Source organism: Homo sapiens, chromosome 6 (assembly GCF_000001405.40).
Source record: "Homo sapiens chromosome 6, GRCh38.p14 Primary Assembly".
Lineage (NCBI taxonomy): Eukaryota > Metazoa > Chordata > Mammalia > Primates > Hominidae > Homo > Homo sapiens.
Genome location: NC_000006.12, coordinates 112,343,392 through 112,364,776, shown reverse-complemented (window position 1 = coordinate 112,364,776; position 21,385 = coordinate 112,343,392). Strand labels below are relative to the sequence as shown.

The 21,385-nt window shown below is 40.7% G+C and overlaps 1 protein-coding gene and 2 pseudogenes across 1 annotated transcript, besides 1 other annotated feature; 2 read left to right on the top strand and 1 right to left on the bottom strand.

Moving 5' to 3' along the window:
• Positions 1,729-2,228: an enhancer, noted in NCBI's record as "H3K4me1 hESC enhancer chr6:112683751-112684250 (GRCh37/hg19 assembly coordinates)". NCBI's record gives its function as "activates a minimal SCP1, AML or CMV promoter by ChIP-STARR-seq in naive H9 embryonic stem cells {active_cell/tissue: H9 hESC(naive)}" and the evidence as "EXISTENCE:reporter gene assay evidence [ECO:0000049][PMID:30033119]".
• Positions 2,002-3,394, top strand: KRT18P65 (keratin 18 pseudogene 65; annotated as a pseudogene).
• Positions 7,984-9,025, top strand: RPSAP45 (ribosomal protein SA pseudogene 45; annotated as a pseudogene).
• Positions 13,483-17,447, bottom strand: RFPL4B (ret finger protein like 4B). The gene is made up of 3 exons (NM_001013734.3): positions 17,370-17,447; positions 15,456-15,584; positions 13,483-15,173 (listed from the first exon to the last, which is right to left on the bottom strand). The coding sequence occupies exon 3, from the start codon at positions 15,066-15,068 to the stop codon at positions 14,277-14,279; it is 792 nt and encodes a 263-aa protein (NP_001013756.2). The 5' UTR covers positions 15,069-15,173; positions 15,456-15,584; positions 17,370-17,447; the 3' UTR covers positions 13,483-14,276.
• Between the last annotated feature and the right edge of the window lie 3,938 nt (positions 17,448-21,385).

Below are 21,385 nucleotides of genomic sequence, written 5' to 3'. Positions count from 1 at the left end.
TTATCCATTCATTCATCGATGGACGTTTAGGTTAATTTTGTATTTTTACTATTTTGAATAGGTCTACAGTAGTCATGCAAGTGCAGCTATCCCTTTGATATACTGATTTCCCTTTCTTTGGATAGATACTTAGTAATGACGTTGCTGGATCTTATGGTAGTTCTATGTTTAGATTTTTGAGAAATCTTCATACTGTTTTTCATAATGGTTGTACTAATTTACATTTGTACCAACAGTGTATAAGAGTATAAGGGTTCTCGTTTCTCTGCATATTGCTTGCATGTTATTTTTTGTCTTTTTAATCATAGGCATTCTAACTGGGGTGAGACAATATCTCATTGTAGTTTAATTTGCATTTCCCTGATGATTAGTGACGCTGAGTATTTTTTCATATACCTCTTGGCCGTTTGTATGTCTTTTTTTATTTTTTATTTATTTATTTATTTTATTTTGAGACAGGGTCTCGCTCTGTTGCTCAGGCTGGATTACAGTAGTACCATCATGGCCCACTGCAGCCTCGACTTCCAAGGCTCAAGCAATCTTCCTGCCTCAGCCTCCCGAGTATCTGGGACTACAGGTGTTCACCACCACGCCCAGCTAATTTTTTTGTTTAATTTTTGGTAGAGACACAGTCTCTCTATGTTGCCCAGGCTGGTCTTGAACTCCTGGGCTTAAGCAGTCCTTCTGCCTCAGCTTCCCAAAGTGCTGGAATTACAGGCATAAACCACCATTCCTGGCCTTGTATGTCTTCTTTTGAGAAACGTCTATTCAAATCTTTTGCCTGTTTTTAATGAGATATCTGTCTTTTTAGAGATCAGTATTTTTAAAATCAGATCCCTTAGTTTAACATCAGAGTGTTGTCCCCCAACTTCATTAATTACATTTATCACCACAAATCAATGTCAATTTATATAACATTTAAATACATCATTCCAGAAAACTTAAGAAAATACCTAGTTTGTATTGAGGTTGTTACAAGAAGAGTCCTATTGATCCTTGTGCAAAGCATTAATGTTTCTGCAAGGAGAGTATCGGGGCAAGGGAGGAAGTTAGAGGCTTTTCCTTTATAGATTCAGTAAGAATAAATAGATGACTTTGTTAATTAAGCTGATTTTGACTGGAATGAAAGAAACCTCTTATTGGACTGGCTTAAACAAAAAGTGGAGTTTAGAGGAAGGGACACTACAGTGTTTCAGGGCAGAGCCAAAGAACAAAGGAAGCCAGGACGCTGTTGGGCCCCAGACCTTTTAGAACCTGGGATGTGAAATGTCACAGTTAGTCTCCCACCACCACAGCCTCTCACAAAATGCTGACTTCTTTTTCTCCCTTGATATGAGCCTTCTCCACATGATGGAAATCACAGATGCTGTCTGCACCAAGATTTGCAACCTGCAAACTCATCCAATGCTGAAGGAATGTTGTCTGTCTAGAAGGAATGAATCAGCAGTCTGTAACAATATTGTACAGAAATGTTGTTACCTCTGAGAGAACTGTTTCCCCTCTAAGGTTTTTAGTGTATGAACTCATATGTTCTCTAAGTGATGATCATTTGATCTCCCCTTTTCAATAGTTAGCTTTATTACTAGCTTATAAATCAGTGTCATGCTAGTAAATGTCTAACAACTGATTCTCAAAAATTAAGAGAAAAGAGAAGCAAGAAAAAGAAAAAAGGTTTTAACTGTAACATTTGCCTGTTTGCCAGTATAATTACCTCTAACACGACCAATGTGAAGCTGCAACATGACGTCACTGAATGCAGAGTTGGGACCCAGTCAGCAGTCTAGAGCCCATACAAACAGGAGCCGGCAGTGCTGCTTATAATTTATTTAGCCTCTATTTAGAGAGCAATGTTAAATAGCAATGATAGCAGCAAGCAGCCTTTCCTTCACCCTGATGCTTTAGTATCCAGCCGCAAATAACTTGCTCCCTGTGTGCTCCATTTGATTACATGCTAGTGGGTTCTTGGAGCTCTGTATCTGGACTTAGAAAAAGGGAATGTCGGTCGTCGGCAAAGCCTGAGTCCTGTCCCCTCGTTCTCTTCCCCGGACAGCATGAGCTTCACCACTCGCTCCACCTTTTCCACCTACTACCGTTCCCTGGGCTCTGTCCAGGTGCCCAGCTACACGCCCGGCCAGTCAGCAGCACAGCCAGCGTCTATGCAGGCGCCGGGGGTTCTGGTTCCGGGAACTCCGTGTCCTGCTCCACCAGCTTCCGGGGCGGCTTGGGGTCTGGGGCCCTGGCTGCCGGGATGGCCGGGGGTCTGGCAGGAATGGGAAGCATCCAGAACAAGGAGACCATGCAAAGCCTAAACAACCGCCTGGCCTCCTACCTGGACAGAATGAGGAGCCTGGAGACCGAGAACTGGAAGCTGGAGAGCAAAATCCGGAAGCACCTGGAGAAGAAGGGACCCCAGATCAGACACTGGAGCCATTACTTCAAGACTATCCAGGACCTAAGGGCTCAGAACCTCGCAAATACTGTGGACAATGCCCGCATCGTTCTGCAGACAGACAATGCCTGTCTTGCTGCTGATGACTTCAGAGTCAAGTATGAGACAGAGCTGACCATGTGCCAGTCTGTGGAGAGCGATATCCATGGGCTCCGCAAAGTCACTGATGACACCAATGTCACTTGGCTGCAGCTGGAGACAGAGATCGAGGCTCTAAAGGAGGAGCTGCTGCTCATGAAGAAGAACCACTAAGAGGAATTAAAAGGCCTACAAGTCCAGATTGCCAGCTCTGGGTTGACTGTGGAGGTAGATGCCCCCAAATCTCAGGACCATTCCAAGATCATGGCAGACATCCAGGCCCAATATAACGAGCTGTCTCGGAAGAACAGAGAGGAGCTGGACAAGTACTGGTCTCAGCAGATTGAGGAGAGCAGCACAGTGGTCACCACGCAGTCCACCGAGGTTGGAGCTGCAGAGATGACACTCACAAAGCTGAGACGTACAGTCCAGTCTTTGGAGATCGACCTGGACTCCATGAGAAATCTGAAGGCCAGCTTGGAGAACAGCCTGAGGGAGGTGGAGGCCCGCTATGCCCTGCAGATGGAACAGCTCAATGGGATCCTGCTGCACCTGGAGTCAGAGCTGGCACAGACCCGGGCAGAGGGACAGCACCAGGCCCAGGAGTATGAGGCCCTGCTGAACATTAAGGTCAAGCTGGAGGCTGAGATAGCCACCTACAACAACCTGCTGGAAGATGGCAAGAACTTCAATCTTCTTAATGCCCTGGACAGCAGCACCTCCATGCAAACCATCCAAAAGACCAACAGCCGCTGGATAGTGGATGGCAAAGTTGTGTCTGAGACCAACCACACCAAAGTTCTGAGACATTAAGCCAGCAGAAGCAGGGGACCCTTTAGGGAGCAGGACGCCAATAAAAATTCAGAGGTTAAAAAAAGAAAGAAAGAAAGATGGAGTGTCATTGTCAATTAGAGATGCTGACCAAGGACTGGGGAGGAGAAAATGGCTAAGCACAGCAGTGCCCCACATCTGCCCCACGATGAAGACTATGCTCTCTGAGTGAACTGTTGAGATCCACAGTCTATTTTTATCTTTCCTAGGCTATAGACTACTTAGGAAGTGAGGAGACTTAATAATTAGGCAACTTATTTAAACTCCTTTTGCCTCAGTTTCCTAATTATTTAAATAGGGGTATTAGAATATATACCTTGTATGACTTTTATGAGGTTTAAATGAACTAATTCATGTTAGGCAACAAATCCAATGCCTCACACACAGTAAATGCTCAATAAATGTTTTAATATCAATTTTAGTCATTTGTCTTTTTCTCTTAAATACTGTCAACCATAATATTGGTTTAATATGGTCTATATTACATTTTAAAAATATCCTTCTTGTCCTTGTTTTCTAAGTTCTTTTTGAAAAATAAAGAATGTAAATTTTGTCATTTGCCTTTTTAGGATTTATTACTTAATTTTTCTTATAGATCTAAGAAGAAAGAACATTCAGTAACTCAGTAGAAGCCAATAAACTCCCCCCTCGTCTCTCTGCCTCACATGCCCTTTCTCCATAAGTCCTGGCCTTTTTCCAGCTGGGCTGACCCCCCCATACAGTCATGCTCATCAACAGTTTCCTTCCTGGCTACTCCTCCCACTCTCTCAATTACAGCTCCCTGCACCAGCCCTCCACAGAAGCACACTTTCAGCCAATACAAAATACCTTGATCAAAGGAGTCTGCCTCAATTTGTGGCTGAAAAAAAATTTTTAAGCATAAGCTTCTAAAACATTCTGTTACACAAAGTGGGAAGGGGTGTTATTTAAAAACACAACTGACTGAAGCAGCTTTTCCTTCACAAGAAAGCTGAGACAGACTTCATTTGCTCTACGTAAAAAGTAAGAATTTGAGTTTTGGGGGAGGAAGTTGAGTTTTTTGAGTTGCCTGGGAGCAGCCCAGGAAGGAAAGGAAGCTGTCTAGAGGGGCAGCCAGGTGGCAGAGACAAAAGCAATGACGCGGGCAGGGGTTCCATCTGGGATCATGGTCAGTTAGAATGGTTATAAGATTTTTTAAAAACCTGAGTATTTAATATCCAGGTATGAATATTTAATATGCAATACATATCTCATCATCTTGAAAACATGATAAGACCTGCCATGTTCACAGCATTATATGTTCAGAGTACTTTCTAGAGAGAAGAGAAGATATTGGGTGGGGTCTCACTGTTGCCTTCTGCTGATCCAAACAAACAGATGCAAAAGAACTGACTATATAGGGAGGTAACCAACAGTAACGTTAAAAAAAATGTCATTTTCCTCAATTCAGCATCTGGGAAATTCCCACGTAATGGAAGTATATTAGTTAAGAGTTCTCCAGAGACAGAACAAATAGGATATATTAATATGTAGAGAGGTATAGATAGGTATACGAGAGAGAGGATTTATTAAGGGAATTGATTGGCTTATGCAATTACGGAGCCTGAGAAGTCCCATGATAGGCTTTCTGCAAGCTGGAGAACCAGGGGAGCCAGCAGCATAGCTGTCCAAGGCTGAAGGCCTCACAACCAGGAAAGTTCATGATGTGACTCTCAGTCTGAGGCTGAAGGCCTGAGAGCCCAGGGGTCTGCTGGCGCAAGTTCCCAAGTTCAAAGGCCTAAGACCCTGGAGTTCTGATGTCCAAGGACAGGAGAAAAGAGACATCCCAGTTCCAGAATATCCTTTTTGGAAAAACAAATTCACCTTTCCTCTGCCTTTTTGTCCTATCTAGGCACCCTGCTGATTGGATGATGCCCACCCACAATGAGAGCCGATCTTCCCCCGTCAGTCCCCGGATTCGCACACAAACATACTTTCACAGACACACCCGGAAATGGTGCTTAACCAGCTATCCAGTCAGTTAACACCTGAAAGTAACCATCACAGGAGGTAAGGGCTAGCAGGTCTGGCCTGTGGACCAGAATTGGTGTCCTTAGAGGACCAGCCATCCTTCCAGTTTCCGTGAATGAATGCCCAGCAGACCCCCAGAGCCTATTCTCTCCTATTTCTGCCTCTCAGCATTGGCAGCCAAAGGTGAAGGGGGAGCATCCAGGACACAGAACACACGGTTGAATATCTTGGGATCATCAATTAGACATGAAATTTCAGAGGCTTTGGAACCAGAGCAACTCTATCTTGCATAGGGGCTAGGTAAAATGAGGCTAAGACCTATGGGGTTGCCTTCCAAGGAGGCTGGGCATTTTTAGTCACAGGATAAAATAGGAGGTCAGCCAAAAATACAGGTCCCAAAGACCTTGCTGACAAAGCGGTTTGCTGTAAAGAAGCTGGCTAAATCTCACCAAAATGAAAATGGAGATGAAAGTCACTGTTGGTTGTGCTCAATGCTCATTAGATGTTAATTATAATATATTAGCATGCTAAAAGACACTTCCACCAGCACCATGACAGTTTACAAATGCCATGGCAATGTAGGGAATCATCCTATATGGTCTAAAATGGGGGGAACCCTCAGTTCTGGGAATAGCTCACCCCTTTCCTGGAAAACTCATGAATAATCCACCTCTTGTTTAGCACATAATCAAGAAAATACCATAAAAGTGGCCAACCAGCAGTTCTCAAGGCTGCTCTAGCTATGGAATAGCCATTCTTTTTTTTTTTTTTTTTTTTTTTTGAGACGGAGTCTCGCTCTGTCACCCAGGCTAGAGGCTAGAGTGCAGTGGCATGATCTCAGCTCACTGCGACCTCCACCTCCCGGGTTCATGCCATTCTCCTGCCTCAGCCTCCCGAGTAGCTGGGACTACAGGTGCCCGCCACCACGCCCGGCTAACTTTTTTGTATTTTTGGTAGAGACAGGGTTTCACTGTGTTAGCCAGGATGGTCTCGATCTCCTGACCTCGTGATCCGCTTGCCTCGTCCTCCCAAGTGCTGGGATTACAGGCATGAGCCACCGCGCCCAGCCCCCATTCTTTATTCCTCTACTTTCTTAATAAATTTGCTTTCACTTTGCTCTATGGACTTGCCCTGAATTCTTTCTTGCACAAGGTCCAAGAACCCTCTCTTAGAGTCTGGATGGGGATCCGTTTCTGGTAACAGAAAGATTTTTCCATGGTGGACACACCTTAGGTCATTAGCGAGGACAAGGAGGGAGGTGGTGGTGACAACATTGTGGGTCACATCAGTTGGAACCTCTGCATTAGATCACACATATTCAGACTTCCGTCCAGCAGGGTACAGTTCCATTTGATGAGAAATGATGCCTTCACAAGCCCTGAATTCATTCACATTAATCTCTTGGTTACTGCCTGACTCACTGAATAGGGAAAGCCTATCGCTTCCTGTTGTCTCATCTATTCCATGATGCACTTGAAGCAAAATTGTGCCAACGTGAGAAAATGTGGGGATTCAAAAAGTAATCCAAACAAATGTAACGAGTCACCTTATTTTGAAACTCTGCCTAGTTTGTGAAGGTCAGATGCTATTGGTTCATCAAGTCTGCCAGCATTATCAAAAAAAGGAAGAAAAGAAGAATAAAGCTCAAATGGATGCTCAGTGATTATGAGAAGCAAAAGTAGATGTTTAAAAATATGTATTAGTCATTGCTGAGGTTTATTTACTTAATCTTCATCAATTTGTAACATTAAGGAGATATAACCTATAGACTGGGCATGGTGGCTCACACCTGTAATCCCAGCACTTTGGGAGGCCTACGTGGGCAGATCACTTGAGGTCAGGAGTTTGAGACCAGCCTGGCCAACATAGCAAAACCGTTTCTCTACAAAAATATGAAGATTAACTGGGTGTGGTGGCACAAACCTGTAATCCCAGCTACTGGGGAGGCTGAGGCAAGAGAATTGCTTGAACCTGGGAGGTGGAGGTTGCAGTGAGCCAAGATCACGCCACTGCACTCCAGCCTGGGCAACAGAGTGAGAAAGACTCTGTCTCAAAACAAAAAAACAAAGAAAAAAAATCATTTTTACTATACCTAATAACAATGCTTGAAAAACAAAATTATGTCTTTTTTGAAAGATACAGGGTTTGAGGTCAATCTGATTTTACTGATATTTTGTAGGAATTAGATCTTCTAGAAGTCCTTTGATGGCAGCTATGATGTCATGCATTTTGGAGTGACAGGTGTTAATGACTTCCTGGAAAGCTTAAGGGAAAATTTATCTTATAAATCTGATTGAGAATTGTTAGCACAAAATTGACTAAGTTGATAAATGTAATACAAAAAGTTTTATCTGAGTCCTGAAAAAAGACTGTTTGAAGTCAATCTCCTTAAATATTCTCAAGTGAAAAAAAGGTGCAAACTAATGTATAGGTAGTACTAAATTTATATATAGGCGAAATACATACATATATATACACATATAGAATACCTTTGGAAGAATCCTCAAGCAATTGGTAACAGGAGTCGTTTTCAGGGAGAATGAATAAATGGGGAGTGTCAGGAAACAGTTTCACTATGTGGCATTTTAAATATTGGACCCCATGCGTTTATTAGCTGGTTAAAAAAGTCTGAAGCCTTTCCACGCTACCCACAGAGGGGTCCATACAGCATTGTTCTGAATTCCTGTTGTAACTTAAAGGGAAACTTTCACAACGTCCAGAGCCCTTGATGTCCTGCAAATGAAGGAGGAGGATGTCCTTGCAGCAGGAACCCACTTAGGTGGCACCAATCTTGACTTCCAGATGGAACAGTACATCTGTAAAAGGACAAGTGATGGCATCTACATCATAAATCTGAAGAGGACCTGGGAGAAGCTTCTGCTGGCAGCTCATGCCATTGCTGCCATTGAAAACCCTGCAGATGTCAGTGTTATATCCTCCAGGAATATTGGCCAGAGGGCTGTGCTGAAGTTTGCTGCTGCCACTGGAGCCACTCCAATTGCTGGCCGCTTCACTCCTGGAACCTTCACTAACCAGATCCAGGCAGCTTTCTGGGAGCCACGGCTTCTTGTGGTTACTGACCCCAGGGCTGACCACCAGCCTCTCACGGAGGCATCTTATGTTAACCTACCTACCATTGCTCTGTAACACAGATTCTCCTTGTGCTATGTGGACATTGCCATCGCATGCAACAACAAGGGAGCTCACTCGGTGGGTTTGATGTGGTGGACACCGGCTCGGGAAGTTCTGCGCATGCGTGGCACCATTTCCTGCGAACACCCGTGGGAGGTCATGCCTGATCTCTACTTCTACAGAGATCCTGAAGAGATTGAAAAAGAAGAGCAGGCTGCTGCTAAAAAAGCTGTGACCAAGAAAGAATTTCAGGGTGAATGGACTGCTTCAGCTCCTGAGTTCACTGCTACTCAGCCTGAGGTTGCAGACTGGTCTGAAGGCATGCAGGTGCCCTCTGTGACTATTCAGCAGTTCCCTGCTGAAGAGTGAAATGCTCAGCCTGCCACAGAAGACTGGTCTGCAGCTTCTAGTCTCAGGCCACCGAATGGGTAAAAGCAATCACTGAATGGGTAGAAGCAACCGCTGAATGGTCTTAAGCTGCCCTTGCACGGGCTCTTAAGCAACATGGAAATAAGGTTAATGGAAAATAAACATCAGTTTCTAAAAAAAGAAAAGTCTGAAGCACAAAAAATCCCAAAATACTTTAGGAGGCAGAGGCGGGCAGATCACAAGGTCAGGAGATCGAGACCATCCTGGCTAACACAGTGAAACCCCGTCTCTACTAAAAATACAAAAAAGTATCCGCGCGCGGTGGCAGGCGCCTGTAATCCCAGCTACTCGGGAGGCTGAGGCAGAATGGCGTGCACCCGGGAGGCGAAGCTTGCAGTGAGCCGAGATAGCGCCACTGCACTCCGGCCTGGGTGAAGAAAAAAAAGAAAAAAAATCCCAAAATATGCACATAGCAAATGAATGATTATAAATATTTATGGAAAATAAAGTTTAAAGAGGAAGAACTTTTTTATAGAAAAATAATAAAAATTTTGTTTGAAATGTCATCTTAAACAATTAAAGACTATTAAAATTAGATTAATTCTACTTTAGCTATAACATAGGTTAGATGATCATTGCAACTGAGCACAACTCCTTCAACTGAGCAAAGACTGAATCAAGTAATTTTTCTAACATAATTGGATAAAATCTCCAATCCTAATTTGTGGCTAACTTTAGTGGCAAAACCATAAACAGGATGCTTTTGGCATGAACGTTTCCATTTTTCCAAAGGCCTCTCTTAGTCTTTGATACTTAAATCATTCTCCTAGGAAGAAATATAGATTCATTTTCACCTTGCTATTGATTTGGAAGATCACCCACAAACCTATGCTCTCTAATGCAATTTCTTTAAAAGGAATGTCTTCACTTGTTGAGGGAGAACATTTACCGCTAGATAATCTGCCCACACTAAGAGCCCACAGGTTCAGTAAAGAGTGGATCTGGCCACTAATCCCAGAAATTACTCCCTCATTACTGAGGAAACTTATAAAGAAAATAGAAACAATCTTCAGACAATGCTACCCCAGAGCCAAATGAGGAGTCCATAGAACTTAGATGTTGCCTAAGTAACGTGTCTCAGAATGTGACACATACGTGCTATCTATGAATGTGAATTTTTCACATTTTCACCTGGACGCAAATTTGAAAGTTGAAGTTTAAGATCATTGGTGTCCTTAAAGCAAACTATACCTGGGTGACTGTGGCAGGGATGCCCAGGAGCCCCAGGCAGGCATTAGGGTGGTATAATGACTTGGGGATGAGGAGGAGGTGAGGAGAGCCCTAGTTGGTTTTTCTTAAGTATCGAAAAGAGGACTGGAAAATAGAAAGTGACTGCCTATTTTGAGGTTGGAAATCTTAAATACAGAAAACACAAAGAGTCAAATGCAAGCAAACACTCATTAGACCAGTTCAGAAAAGCTGGAACTGCTTAAATGGAAACACTCACAGCTGAATCAGAAAGGACTGTGAATGTTGATTGGATATTTGATTATATTAAGGAATTATTCATTGATTATACTAAGGAATTATTCATTTTTATCTATGATAATGGCATCATAATTACATTTTCCTAAGTACATTTCATTTAGAGATATTCATAAGAATTTATGAATGAAATGATATGATGTATAAGATTTGATCTTAAATAATCTGGGGGCAGGAGGTTGGCCATTGTTGCTATTATTGAAACTGAGTGATAGGTACATGTGGATTCATTATACTATTCTCTATTTTTGTATGTTTAAAATTTTCCATTAAAAAATACAACTGAGGCAAGTTTTACTTCTACTTTTTAATTTATTGAAGCTGGTCATAGAAAGGTAGGAGAAGGAAGCCAAGGGCAAACTGTGAGACACTTGGAAGACACTCACCAAAGTTCTAATGGCCAGAGCTGAGAAGGGCAAAGCAAAATAGAAAGCGTTTTTGAGGCTGCCCAGCAGGTCTTCAGAACTCTTGGTACAATAGAACAGGAGTTAGGAATAAGTTCAAGGGCAGGCAGAACACAAAAAATAACAGTGGCTTAAAACAGAAAGTGTTTATTCTCTTCTTAAGTTTTGTTTTTAATTGACAAATAATTGTATATATTTGTGGGTACTGCATGATGTTCTGATACATGTATACGTTGTGGAATGATCAAATCAGGCTAATTAACACATTCATCACCTCAAATATTTCTCATTTATTTTTGCTGAGATATAGAATACTTTTTTTAACTTTTATTTTAAGTTCAGGGTTACATGCACAGGTTTGTTATGCAGGTAAACTAGCCTCATGGGGTTTCTTTATCACATTAATGAAGACAGAGGTAAGTGTCCCAGAGCTGTCAGAGTGACTCTGTAGCCCTCAGGGATCCCTGTAGCCTTCAAGAGTGCAGGCCTATTCCAGTTCACTGTTCTCTCAGGCCCCTCATCCCTGTGGCCCAATTGTCTGCACTCCAGGCAGCAGGGGTGCAGGAAGAGAACTAAAAGTAGGCAAGGAGAGAGAACCAGCTGTCCCTTAAGGGAGGTTCCTAGAAGCTGCCATGCTAAGAGCTGAGATAGATGCATGCAGCATCTATACATACATTTTAGAGGCACAACTGAATCTGCCACCTATGAGAAGCAACAGCATTCCACCAAATTCTTAGCCAATATTTGCAGGCTGTCCAAAGACAGTAACCTCTTAAGGGGTAGAAGATTTCGCCATTTTTTCCTGGTTGCTTCCTATGAAAAGAGCAAGGCCTGCACAACAGCCTCTGTCTTACAGAAAGTTCTAAATCCCAATATTAAGGAGAATAAACATTTGGGTCATTACAATAAGCAGCCAGTTTCTTTTTTTTTTCTTTTTTTTTTTTTTTTTTTTTTAGTGTACTGTATTTCTGTCTTTATGTCTTTGGGGAATCACCACATTGGCTTCCACAATGGTTGAACTAATTTACACCCCCATAAATAGTATATAAGTATTCCTTTTTCTTCACAACCTCACCAGCATCTGTTACTTTTTGATGTTTTAGTTATAGCCATTCTGACTGGTGTGAGATGGTATGTCATTGCGGTTTTGATTTGCATTTCTCTAATAATCATTGATGTTGAGCTTATTTTCATATGCTTGTTGGCCACATGTGTTCTTTAGAAAAACTTCTGTTAGTGTCCTTTGCCACTTTTTAATGAGGTTGTTTGGTTTTTTTCTTGTACACTTAAGTTCCTTATAGATGCTGGATATTAGACCTTTGTCACATGCATAGTTTGCAAAATTTTGCTGTCATTCTTTAGGTTGCCTGTTCAATCTGTTGATAGTTTCTTTTGCTGTGCAGAAGTTCTTTAGTTTAATTTGATCCCATTTGTCCATTTTTGCTTTTGCTGCAATTGCCATCTTTGTCATGAACTCTTTGCCCATGCCTATGTCCTGAATGGTGTTGCCTAGGTTGTCTTCCAGGGTTTTTATGGTTTGGGGTTTTACATTTAAATCTTTCATCTATCTTGAGTTGATTTTTGTATGTGGTGTAAGGAATGGGTCTGGTTTCAATCTTCTGCATATGGCTAGCCGGTTATCCCAGCACTATTTATTGAAAAAGGAATCCTTTCTCCATTGCTTGCTTTTGTCAGGTTTGTCAAAGATCAAATAGTTGTGGGTATGTGGTCTTGTTTCTGGGTTTTCTAATCTGTTCCATTGGTCTATATGTCTGTTTTTGTACCAATACCATGCTGTTTTGGTATTGATACAAACTATACTACTGTAGCCTTGTGATGTCTCCAGCTTTGTTCCTTTTGCTTAGCTTTGGCTAAAAAATAGCCTTGGCTATTCAGGTTCTTTTTTGGTTCCATATGAATTTCAAAATAGTTTTGTCTAGTCCTGTGAGGAGTCTCAATGGTAGTTTAATAGGAATAGCATTGAATCTATAAATTGCTTTGGACAGTATGGCCATTTTAACAATATCGATTCTTCCTTTTAATGACCATGGAATGTTTCTCCATTTGTTTGTGTCATCTCTGATTTCTTTGAACAGTGGTTTATAGTTCTTGTAGAGATCTTTCACCTCCCTTAGTTAGCTACATTCCTAGGTATTTTATTCTTTTTGTGGCAATTGTGAATGGGAGTTCATTCCTGATTTGGCTGTCAGCTTGACTCCTGTTGGCATATAAGAATGCTAGTGATTTTTGTACATTTATTTTGTATCCTGAAATTTTGCCCAGTGTTAGGGAAGGGCAATGAGTCCCCTGAAATAAAGTTGTAGAGATCAAAAGAGAATAAAGAGAGGAAAATGGCTATCTCCCTACTCCCAGTGAAGTTGGAAAGAGAAGGGAAATGACAATTCTGGGTCTCTCTAGAAAGGAAGTCAAAGGCAGATTCCAGAACATGCTCAGACCCCAGCCCTTTTGGGGCAGTTGTAATCTCAGAAGTGGCTGACTCAGTAAATCAGAAAAAATACAACCCTAAGAGACCTGAATATTTTGAAAAGGAGCCATCATGAGTGTATAAGGATGACATATTGGAAATCACAGTCTGGGACCATGTAGCTGTGGTGGAGGAAGAGGGGTACCAACTTCAGACTGTATGTGAGAGACGGACCAAACAGCATAAACATGAACACATCCAATGCTTTATAAATTTATTTGCAAGAAAATAAATTCTACAAATAAAAAATCCAAAAGCAACCTTGAAAACAATTTTTGATGAATATGTGTTAGTTAACATGGTTGATAAGAATTCTTATAAATCACAATAGTCCAATTATTGAGATGGGTAAATGACACTTCCCATAAGAATATGAATCACCATTAACAATGCATTTTGGTCAAAGTTCTTTGTCTTTCAAGAAAACTTATGTGGCTGTGTTTCAAAGAAAATAAAAATGAAAAACTTAGTTCTTCCCCAATATCAGTTTGTCTCTCTGAAATTTCATGCTGTATCAACAAAATAACTCACACTGGCTGTTGAATTTTTCTTCCTCCTCAGACATTATCAGGAATTACACAAAACAGCTTGAAATAATGAAAAAGATATTGTCTATCCACAAAACCTAATATCTAGCTTACTTACAATCTAAGATTTCTCTATTTGTTATTTACTATAAGACAAAGGCATAGTATTGTCTCTAATTACCACAGCTGTTTGACTGAGATACAATTATCCGCATCTACAGACTAGAAAACTGAAGCTTACAGTACTTAATAACATCCCTAAAGACCCCAGTTACCTAGCTACAAATTCCACAAAATTTACCCCAAAAATCCGAAAATTGTTTTGCTACAAAGTCTACAAAATCTACTTTAAAAATTTACCAAGTCTTTGCACTATAGCACATTATCTCTTCCTCAATCATGCTGACCTTTCTCAGGCCAAAATTCTCTTTCACCTCTCAGAAAGCTTCTAGGAAGGGCTGACTTTCTCATGGGCAGATGGTCAGGACGTTGCCACTCTCCCCTTCTCCCAAGAGCTCAAGACAGAAGAATGGACACAAAAGCTCCAAAGAGAAGAAACCATCATGTGTATAGATGAGGACATTATTGTCAACATCAAAAAACTGGATTTCTTCTAAGTCAGCATCCAGGAAAATTCCCACACGGCGAAGGCGAGGGCTTGCAGGAATTCTCTCCAGGTGGGTGTTAGCATGGATTGCTCCTGCCTTCATGCTGATCCAGAAGCCATGCTCAGGGAATAAATCATTGCTCTTTCTGTCAGCCGGCTCCTTGCAGACGCCCAGGGACCATGACTTCACCTCTCCCACTTCAACCTCCCAGTAATGTTGGCCGGAGGAGAAGCAGGGAGTACCCAGGACACAGGCCAGCCTGGGATCTTTTGTCAGATCGTGGTGGATCTTCTTACACTGAGCGCTTCTTAGATCATTGGAGAAGACAAGGAGGGAGCTGGCAGTGGCTGCATCCAGGGTCACATCCTCCCGAAAATGCCGGAGCTCCTCCCTCACGTGCAGACTTTGCTCAAGTCGGCTATTGTGCTGCTTGGTCATAAGTGTTAGGACGCTCACTTGCCATTCTTCCAAAGCAGGTACCTTCACCACGTCTCGACACAAGGGGCACATCGCTCTAAAATCATGGTTTTCTAGTATATACCTCTGGATGCAATCAAAGCAGAACACGTGTGTACAAGAGAGAGAAATGGAACAGGAGAAAAAATCCAGGCAAACTGGACAGGACAACTCTGCTTGCAGGCGTTTGGCCATGGTTCTTAAGGGTTACTCCTTAGCCGTGAAGTAAACTGAAGTGATCCTTTATTGGCTTCTGGAAGCACTTGGGAGCCCTCAGTACACAATCCACTCTTCAATAGTCTAAATCCAAGATTAAATAATATAAATTAATAAATAAGTTATTGGCATACATAAATGAATTATATTATTTAATAAATAATAATAAATTTATTAACTAAGAAATTAAGAATAACAAAAAAATAATATTTCTGCAGTTTGTGTATGAAAGTGACACTAAATTGCTAGAGAATCACAGTAATGTAGTCATGGTGATAAAAATGATTTCGAAACTCTTCAAACTCTAGATAATCACAAGACAGAAATAGGACAGTGGAAACTTTCTTTTCAGACAGTGCAGCTTACCTAGTCTGAAGACTTCCAGGTGATGTGTTGGCTGCTCCGGCCAAAGTTTCTCCTAATGGGGGCTGAATTCAAGTGGGTCTTTAACAGAATCTCAGTATAGTCTCCACTCAGTATTTCTTTGTAGATCCTCTGCAGTTCAGGAAAAAGAATGTTCATGTCTAAATTCAATAATGAAAATAAAGCCAATTCTACATTAATCATCACAGAAAAGTGACTCTAAGGAATCCTCAGAATTTCCAGGAAAATTACCACATGTGAGTAAAGCCAGCAAAATCCACTGCAAAATGAGAAGCCCATAAAAGAATCAAGTTTAAGGACAAAGTGTTATTAGATGAAATGCTTTAAAGCACTCTAAGAAAACTAATTAAGGCTTGAATTAATGTGAATAAAAATATAATAGTCATCAACTTCTCCAAAATAATCATGCCTGAATACAAACCAAAAAGATGTTCCAGACAAGGAAGATGCCCTCCTGTTACCCCAACTGCTCCCAAAGCTTGAGAGCCTCTGGTGCTCCCAGAGGACTTCCCACCATGGCTATTATTCTTTGAGTGAGCTGTCTCTGACATGCTGGGCACAGCATATTGGACCAGGCTAGACCCATGACCCAAAGACAGCCTCGCAAAGCTGGACAGCACCTTTGAGATTATGTGAACAGAGGACTGTTCTCCAATAAGAGCCTGCACTGAGCAGTAACTAGCAGAACTCCTTACCAAGAACCCACAAATCACACATTCAGTGGTGACAGTAGTAACAGAATGAGGGACAGAAAGAGGAGCAGCATCAACATTACCAGAGAGAGGAAGTGATGAACACCGATGAGGCCAGCCTAAGACTGAGTTACTAGAACTGTCCTACATCCCAGAACACATTCTCTAATCTCTTTCCAACAAATACTTATTGAGCCCCTTCTGTGCTCTTGGCCTCAACTGGACTCTGGAAACACAAACGTGTGTAATAAACAGGGTATCTGCCCACATAAAACTTTGTCTTCCAAGTCCTGATCAGCATTCCAATCTCATGGTGCCTGGCTGGCGGACAACCAGAGATTACCTCTTTCTTAAATTCTGTTATCTTTTTCAATTTAATGGGAAATTTAACATGGTGCTGGAAATCTAATTGCCTAACCCACCTTGGAATGTATCTAAGAAAACAATTTTACAAAAGAAAAAAAATGCTACACTTATTCACAAGTTGTTCATTTCAGTGTTAACTACCATCCCAAATGATCAGGAACAATCGAATTATCTAACAATAATAAAATGATTCAGCTAATTATGACACAACTACTAAAAGTGGCCAAGTATATTTAAGTGAAAACCCGAAGTGAAGTCTTTTTTTTTTTTTGAGACGGAGTCTTGCTCTGTCGCCCAGGCTGGGGGTGCAGTGGCTCCATCTCGGCTCACTGCAACCTCTGCCTCCCGGGTTCAAGCAATTCTCCTGCCTCGGTCTCCTGAGTAGCTGGGATTACAAGCATGTGCCACCACGTCCGGCTAAGTTTTGTATTTTTAGTAGAGACGGGGTTTCACCATGTTGGACAGGCTGGTCTCTTGACCTCGTGATCCACCCACCTCAGCCTCCCAAAGCGCAGGCGCGAACCATGGCGCCCGGCCGAAAACCCAGAAATCTTTTAAGAAATGTTGGAAAATAAAAAGAAACCATTTTAAAACCATTTAAATCCATTGTAGTTGAAAACACATAAAAATACAAGTTCATGCAAAGAGTGACCTGAGGTTCATATGTAAAAATTTAAATGGCAAAGTTATAGTTAAAGGTGAAGAAAGCTCCCTGGCACAGGAAAAAACTAGTTCTTTCTCCTCTAAAATAAATAGTTAAAGGCATTCGAAAACACCAGTTTGTAGCCAAAGACAGAATAGGACATTGGAAATAGCTTAAACAGAAGGTATAACTTACCTTGACTTGGAGACTTCCAGCAGAATTCTAAAAGATCCGAAGCCTACGTCTCTACCTCTACAGACCTCTGCTCCTCTCGGAGTTTCCGCGGAGAGACACCAGCGTTTTTATACTGCCTGGAAAACATTGTCCAACCAATCAGAGTCAGAGGCTCCGCCCCAAAGGTTGTACCACTCTAATCTGAGTAAACTCATCAACCCACCCTTCCGTTTATGATGATGACATTAAAGCAGGCTTCAAATTATATAGTAAAAAAATTCAAAATTTCTTAATAACTCCCTGAATTAGAGTGAATCTACTGCCATCTGCTCTTGTCTCTAATTTCAGAACTCAACTTTAAAAAGCAAAATGTGTTGGAGATCAAATACAGAAATGCACTGCTGAAACCTAATCACCTCGTGGCTAATGTAATCATTGGTGTTCCTATTCCTGATAGAATCATGAGCGGACAGGATCTACAACAGTTTTCATGTCCTTTGACTCAACAATTCTACTCTTAGGGGTACTTACTGGACAGGATAAGAAAGATGGCAGCTAGGCAAGGCTATTGTCCTGTAATTATTAATAATTCCATTTTTTACTCTCAAAAGTGTTCTTGGATGAACGGTAAATTTTATGGTGTCTGTATCGAGAGCAGAAGGAGCAGTAAAAGTCACAACAGAGGAAAGCTAAGACACAAACTTCCAAAAAAGGATTTGGAGGGTGAATGAAGTCCCATTGTAGAGAGGATCGCTGGAATATACGTTTTCCCCAAGAGAGGCTGCATTCTAAATAACCTCTCCTTTCTCAGGCTTCCTGTTCTGCAAGGCCCAACACACAGCTTACACAGCTTTTACTTCATTTTTACCTGGTGCTATCTCCTTTTCTGTGAGTTAAATACTTGCAGGAGCAGGTCTCAAGCGTTGCTGGGGTTTTTTTTTGTTTTGATTTTTGACACAATCTTGCTCTGTCTCCCAGGTTGGAGTGCAGTGGCTCAGTCTCGGCTCATTGCAACCTCCACCTCCCAGGTTCAAGTGATTCTTGTGCCTCAGCCTCCCTAGTAGCTGGGATTACAGGAGGCCAAGGTGGGCAGATCACATAAGTTTAGGAGCTCAAACTTTTTAAATTGTAATCTCAAGACCCTTTAAACTTGAGATTTTAATCTCAAGAATCCTTACACTCTCTTTTTTAATTATTCAAAAATGTCATTTTATTTTTTCTTTCATTTTATTTTGAAATAATTTTAGACACAGAAAATTTGTAGGAATAGTAAAAAGAGATATATTCTTTACCCAGATTTACTATTTGTTTTTTAATTGTCTGATGTATGTATACACTGTGAACTGATTAAATCAAGCCAATTAACATATCTGTCACTTCACATACTTATCATTTTGTCATGAAAATGTTCAAAATCTACTATCTTAGCAATTTTTAGGTGTGCTATACATTATCATTAGTTATATCCACCATGATGTACAATGGATCTCCAAAGAGTATTCCTTCTATCTACCTGAAAATTTTGTACCTTTTAACCAATATCTCCCCATTTCAGTCTTCTTTTCATCCCAGTGCCTGGTAGCCACCATTCTACTCCATGCTTCCATGAGTTCATTTTTTTTTACTTTTTTCCATTCCACGTATAGGTGAAATCATGCAGCATTTGCCTTTCGGTACCAGCTTATTTCACTCAACATAATGTCCTCCAGGTTCCATGTTGTTGAAAATGATAGAATTTCTTAAGACTCGATAGTATTCCATCATGTACATGTACCATGTTTTCTTTATGTATTCATCTATTGAGGAATATCCTGATTCTTTATGCATTCATCAGTTGATGAATATAAGTTGATTCTCTATCTTGGCTACTGTGAATAATGCTGTTATGAACATAGGAGAGCAGATATCTCTTCAATGTACTGATTTTATTTTCTTTGGATATATATTCAGAAGTAGAATTGCTAGATCACATAGTAGCTCTATTTTTAGTTCTTTGAAGAACCCCCATACTAGTTTTCATAATAGCTGTGCTAATTTACATTCCCACCAATGGTGTACGAGGTTTCTCTTTTCTTCATATCTTTGCCAGCATTTGTTATCTCTTCTCTTTTTTATTTATTTACTTTTTTCTCATGCCTGTAATCCCAGCACTTTGGGAGGCCAAGGCGGGTGAATCGCGAGGTTAGGAGTTCAAGACAAGCCTGGCCAAGATGCTAAAACCCCGTTTCTACTAAAAATAAAAAAATTAGCAAGGCGTGGTGGCGGGCACCTGTAATTCCAGCTACTTGTGAGGCTGAGGCATAGAATTGCTTGAACCTAGGAGGCGGAGATTGCAGTGAGCCGAGGTCGCACCACTGCACTCCAGCCTGGGAGACAGAGCAAGACTCCGTCTCAAAAAAAAAAGAAAGAAAGAAAAAATTATTCTTACAGGTGTAAGGTGATATCATTTGCACTCTTATACATAAATGAGAAATCCAAAAAGCTTTTTGTTCATATGAATTATATTTCTTCATATTTACAATATTAGAAATTCAAACTGAGAATTTTTTAAAGCTCTAATTAATTAAAATAAAACTATTACATGTTAACATAAATAATATAGTTTTATTTAAACAAATAACTATTTTCTAAAACAAAAACAATTACTTAGAAGAGTTCCATTGTCTTGAATGTTTGCAAACCTCTGTAATTTTTGCTTAATAAAAGACATCTGGATTCTTACATCTACTTTTGCTGAACCTGTTGTGATATGTTGCTTTGATTTAAATATGTGAAAAAAAATGTGGCTTCCCACAGATGTTTAGTTGGAAAAGGGAAGATTCTGCAGACTCACTAAAAGTGTCTCAGGGACCTCCAGGACCTCTCTAAACTATTCAAAGATCATTGCCCTACTACAAATTCTATAACTCTAAGTGGCAGCAGCAAATCTTAGTTCCTTGGTAACCAAAAACTCTAATGATGCATCCAGCCATCTTTTCGTCTGGCTTCTGCCATCTCAAAACTAATACATATGATATGGCTAAATATGGAACATTTTCTCTCCTTTTTCCAATAATGATGAGGCTTTTTTCACTTTTCCATTTAATTTATTTAACTGCAGTGATGATTCCAAATCAAGTTTTTCTCTATCACTGAATAACACCTACTAGGCCCTCAACAGATGTTGATAATAACAAAAAACATCATTCCTTACTGACTCTTACATTTTTCAGCCAGCTCTGACTGTGGCTGGACCATACACTGACTTCATGCCTCTAAGCTTTTGTCTGCCAGGAGAAATATTTTTTTTCCCAGAAGTACTCACTTTGATTCCCAGATTCTCCATTATTACAGGAATACTGAATTCAGAGAGAAGCACCATTTTTTTTAATTTTCAAGTGCTGGAAATATTGGAAGCCACTTATCTGTGATATCTTAATACTCTCATGACAACATATCAAAAATGTGCATGAAAATTTTTTTAATTTTTAAAATAATTTTTAATTATCATTAATGCTTCCATGAGTTAAGATTAAATCACAAATTAATTTTGTTTCCATAGCTTCCTGATTAAAAAAGGAATCAACTTTCACACATGCTAATTAGATAAGATGAAGCCACTAGTGGGGAGGAGGGAATAATCAGATCTGTCAGGAATCTAAGATACTTACAAGTGGATGATATGTTTGCTCAAAACACAGTTTGCATTTTTCAAGAGGCAGCAGCTGTAGTGGGGCAGCTTTTCACAATTAGCTTCCATCCCCTGGTGTGGGGCAGGTGCTGGCTTGCAACCTCCTCTTCTCTCCCACCCGTGTCCTCTCCTCTTTTCTGCCTGGTTATACATTAAAAGGGACCCTTCTGTCTATCTTAAAGAAGATAGAGGGCATCTCTCTGAATTATTAATGCCATCAAAGCCTGCTAATGGAGTTCCCTGGCTCTTCTCTTCAAAAGGAGCTGTGTTTTGCAGATCTGGCGAATTTCATGAAGAGGAATATTTTTGGCACTTAGGATATGTAGAGTGCTCCACTTCCACACTTGTTTTAGAGTACAGACTACAG

What these genes read in the sequence shown, in the direction of transcription:
- RFPL4B (NM_001013734.3), bottom strand. Translation starts at nt 15,068, where the DNA reads ATGGCCAAACGCCTGCAAGCAGAGTTGTCCTGTCCAGTTTGCCTGGAT.